Source organism: Homo sapiens, chromosome 16 (assembly GCF_000001405.40).
Source record: "Homo sapiens chromosome 16, GRCh38.p14 Primary Assembly".
In the NCBI taxonomy this organism is placed as follows: Eukaryota; Metazoa; Chordata; class Mammalia; order Primates; family Hominidae; genus Homo; species Homo sapiens.
In genome coordinates this window covers 59,355,744-59,358,444 of record NC_000016.10, presented here as the reverse complement: position 1 = coordinate 59,358,444, position 2,701 = coordinate 59,355,744, and the positions used below count along the sequence as shown (strand labels likewise).

Here is a 2,701-nt window from a genome sequence, read left to right as displayed (position 1 = left end):
AGACAAAAAAAGCAGACACAAAGGAGAATATAACACTTGATTTTATTCATATCAAATCAAATTCAAAAATAGACAAAGCTAATCTGTGGTTTTAGAGATTAGGACAGAAGTTATCATTGGGGAAGAAGGGTTAGTGACAGGGAGGAATCATGAAGGGTATTTTAAAGTATTGTTAACATTCTCTTTCTTGATATGGCTGAAATTAATTTTTTCCAAGCTATAAAACTGGGAATTTTGTACTTTTTAATTCATATTAAAATTTAATTACTTAATTCACATAGAAAAACAGTAAAGTAAAAACTCTTACTTTAAACTGTGCTCCTATATCAGTGCCTTAACAAATAAAATGTGCAGGGTCATGATCATTTTGAACAAAGTAGAGTAAACTAATTCCCCTACAGTACATCCCACTGCCCCAAAGGTAGCACTTTCAGGGAAACCCAAGATGCCACCAATGCCACATTCTAATATAAATCATGCACCTATAGAAAGTTTTAAAGTTTAATGCCAATAACATCAGTTTTTCACACCCCTTCCCCCTACTGTTAAATCTGCTATTGCCTTCCACTCTGACAATTGCCAAATATAATGGGGAATTATAAATTAAACTCCTGGGTTCTTAAGCAAACATTATACAAGTTTATCTCTGGAGGAAATACATTCCTCAAATTCAAAGGCAAAGTTTCTCTTTGTTAAGTTACAATGGACTGAATACAGGGGAAATTATATGATATCTATATTATCATAGAACCTATTTTCAAAAAGAAAAAGAAGAAACTTTATTCTTTAGCCAGAAAGTATGTATTTTAATTAAATAGAAAGTTTCCCATTATTACATTTGAAGTTAGCTCTTGGTTAAGAAATATTGGAGAATTTCTTATGTTAATATAAAATATGTTGTAGTCTAAAACTGTAATGATAATTACCACCAAATTATATATTCTGATTATGTTTAAAATGCATGTGTTTATATGTAACATGTATTCATGAGAGTGTCTCGAAAACAAAATGAGCAAACAAAAAACTAAAAAGGCCTCTTAAAACACACAATCATCATGGTGTTAGAAAAAAGACCTTTTAAGACAGTGTGACCCTCGTGTACACACAGAGGCCATGGCCCATGGAATTGGAGCCCTGAAAACCAGGACATGGCTCTGTTTCCTATGCTGAAAACTAAATACTTCCTTATAGCCAAAAATAAGGAACAAAGACATATGTTGACCCCAATATCCTACGCTTGGCTGAAGTGGAATTTTGTCTTCTAGTACTTCTTGGCTGTGTTTGAGTTCCAACCAAAAGCTTATTGCACTTTACCTCTTTCCTATAAGTTATTGAAGGAGTAATTACTTGACATGCTTTCCTCTGCCTGTGGAAAAATAAAGCTGATAGCATAAAACAGGTCTCATAAAAAATCAGTAGTCACCCAGCCTGTGACATGCAACCAGCTGAAAGCTGATCCCTGCTGAGCCTTTCCTTCAGCAGCATTTCTGTGAACAGAGTCCCAACTGCTGATGACCAAGCAACAGGAACAGATAAGAAATGACCTGGGAGGCCAGGAGACTGGTCTGGACCTCCCTGATTACAGTTAACTTACTACATTGTCCCTGTTCCAACAGTGCCCTTTCAGTTAAATGCAATAAATCTCCTCCTCTTTAAGTGACAGGGAGCCTGATGGTTACTTTGGCTTTCAGGAATGAAAAACGGGGAGAAATGAACCTATCTAAAACAGGGAGAGCAAATAGCCACCTGCTGAGACAAAGCTCTAAACACAAATGTGAACACTGATTTTTTTGCTACGTGTTGATCTTAGAAGTGATTTTTATTTCTTGTGTAGTACGATATTTCACAAATACCCTACAATGTACAATTCCCTTTCTAGAATTTATTATTTCATAATTAGAAGAGAAAAAAAAAACAACCAAGGTAAGCTTTTAGCTCCCAGCCCTCAAAAATATCTTAAGTGATTTTTGTCTTTCAAATATTGCCTGCATTCGTTCTGTGAAATACTCCTTTCTTCTAAGATTTGGGAGAGTAGGAAATCAGTAGAACATACGTCAAACAGCTGACACCTGCCAATCAAAATTGAGTCGGTTTCACCCAGATAAAACCTGCATCTGACTTAGGACATTTCTCACAGTTTCTCATGGAAACTCGGAGACTGTAATTTGTACCTCATTCCCTATCATTTAATAGTATTATTTGCTCAATTTGAACAGGTGTTCGGCAAAGATAATTAACATTTGTTTAGTGGTTCTCAACTTTGGTGAAAATATTTTTTTTAATCCCAAAACAATGCAAAGTACATCTTTGTGCACTTCCCACTTAATAGATGAAGACATTGAGAATTTTAGAAGCAATCACACAGCTAAAATATGGAGCAACTCCAGAATTTTATTTTATGTCTATATGCTTTGAAATTTGTACTCTTCCTCCATCTATGTCATCCTCCTCCCTGCTGAGAAATGTTGCTAGTGCTGTTTGTTTATGCAAATCAACTAGATCAGTCTCCCTGATTAAAAGCAAAATACTAATACAGTCAGCCCTCCCTATCTGCCTATTTGGAAGGCCCCCTAAGGGACTTGGGCATCTGGGGATTTTGGTATTTGCAGGAGAAAAGGCAGGATGTCGTGTCCTGGAACCAATCCTCCATGGATACTAAGTAGTAGTAGCCAACTGTAGCAGCTTTTCTGAGTTTAGACGC

At 36.0% G+C, this 2,701-nt stretch overlaps 1 annotated feature.

Moving 5' to 3' along the window:
- Positions 1,386 to 1,680: an enhancer, noted in NCBI's record as "tiled region #12864; K562 Activating DNase matched - State 8:EnhW". NCBI's record gives its function as "activates a minimal TATA promoter and a strong SV40 promoter by Sharpr-MPRA in K562 cells {active_cell/tissue: K562}" and the evidence as "EXISTENCE:reporter gene assay evidence [ECO:0000049][PMID:27701403]".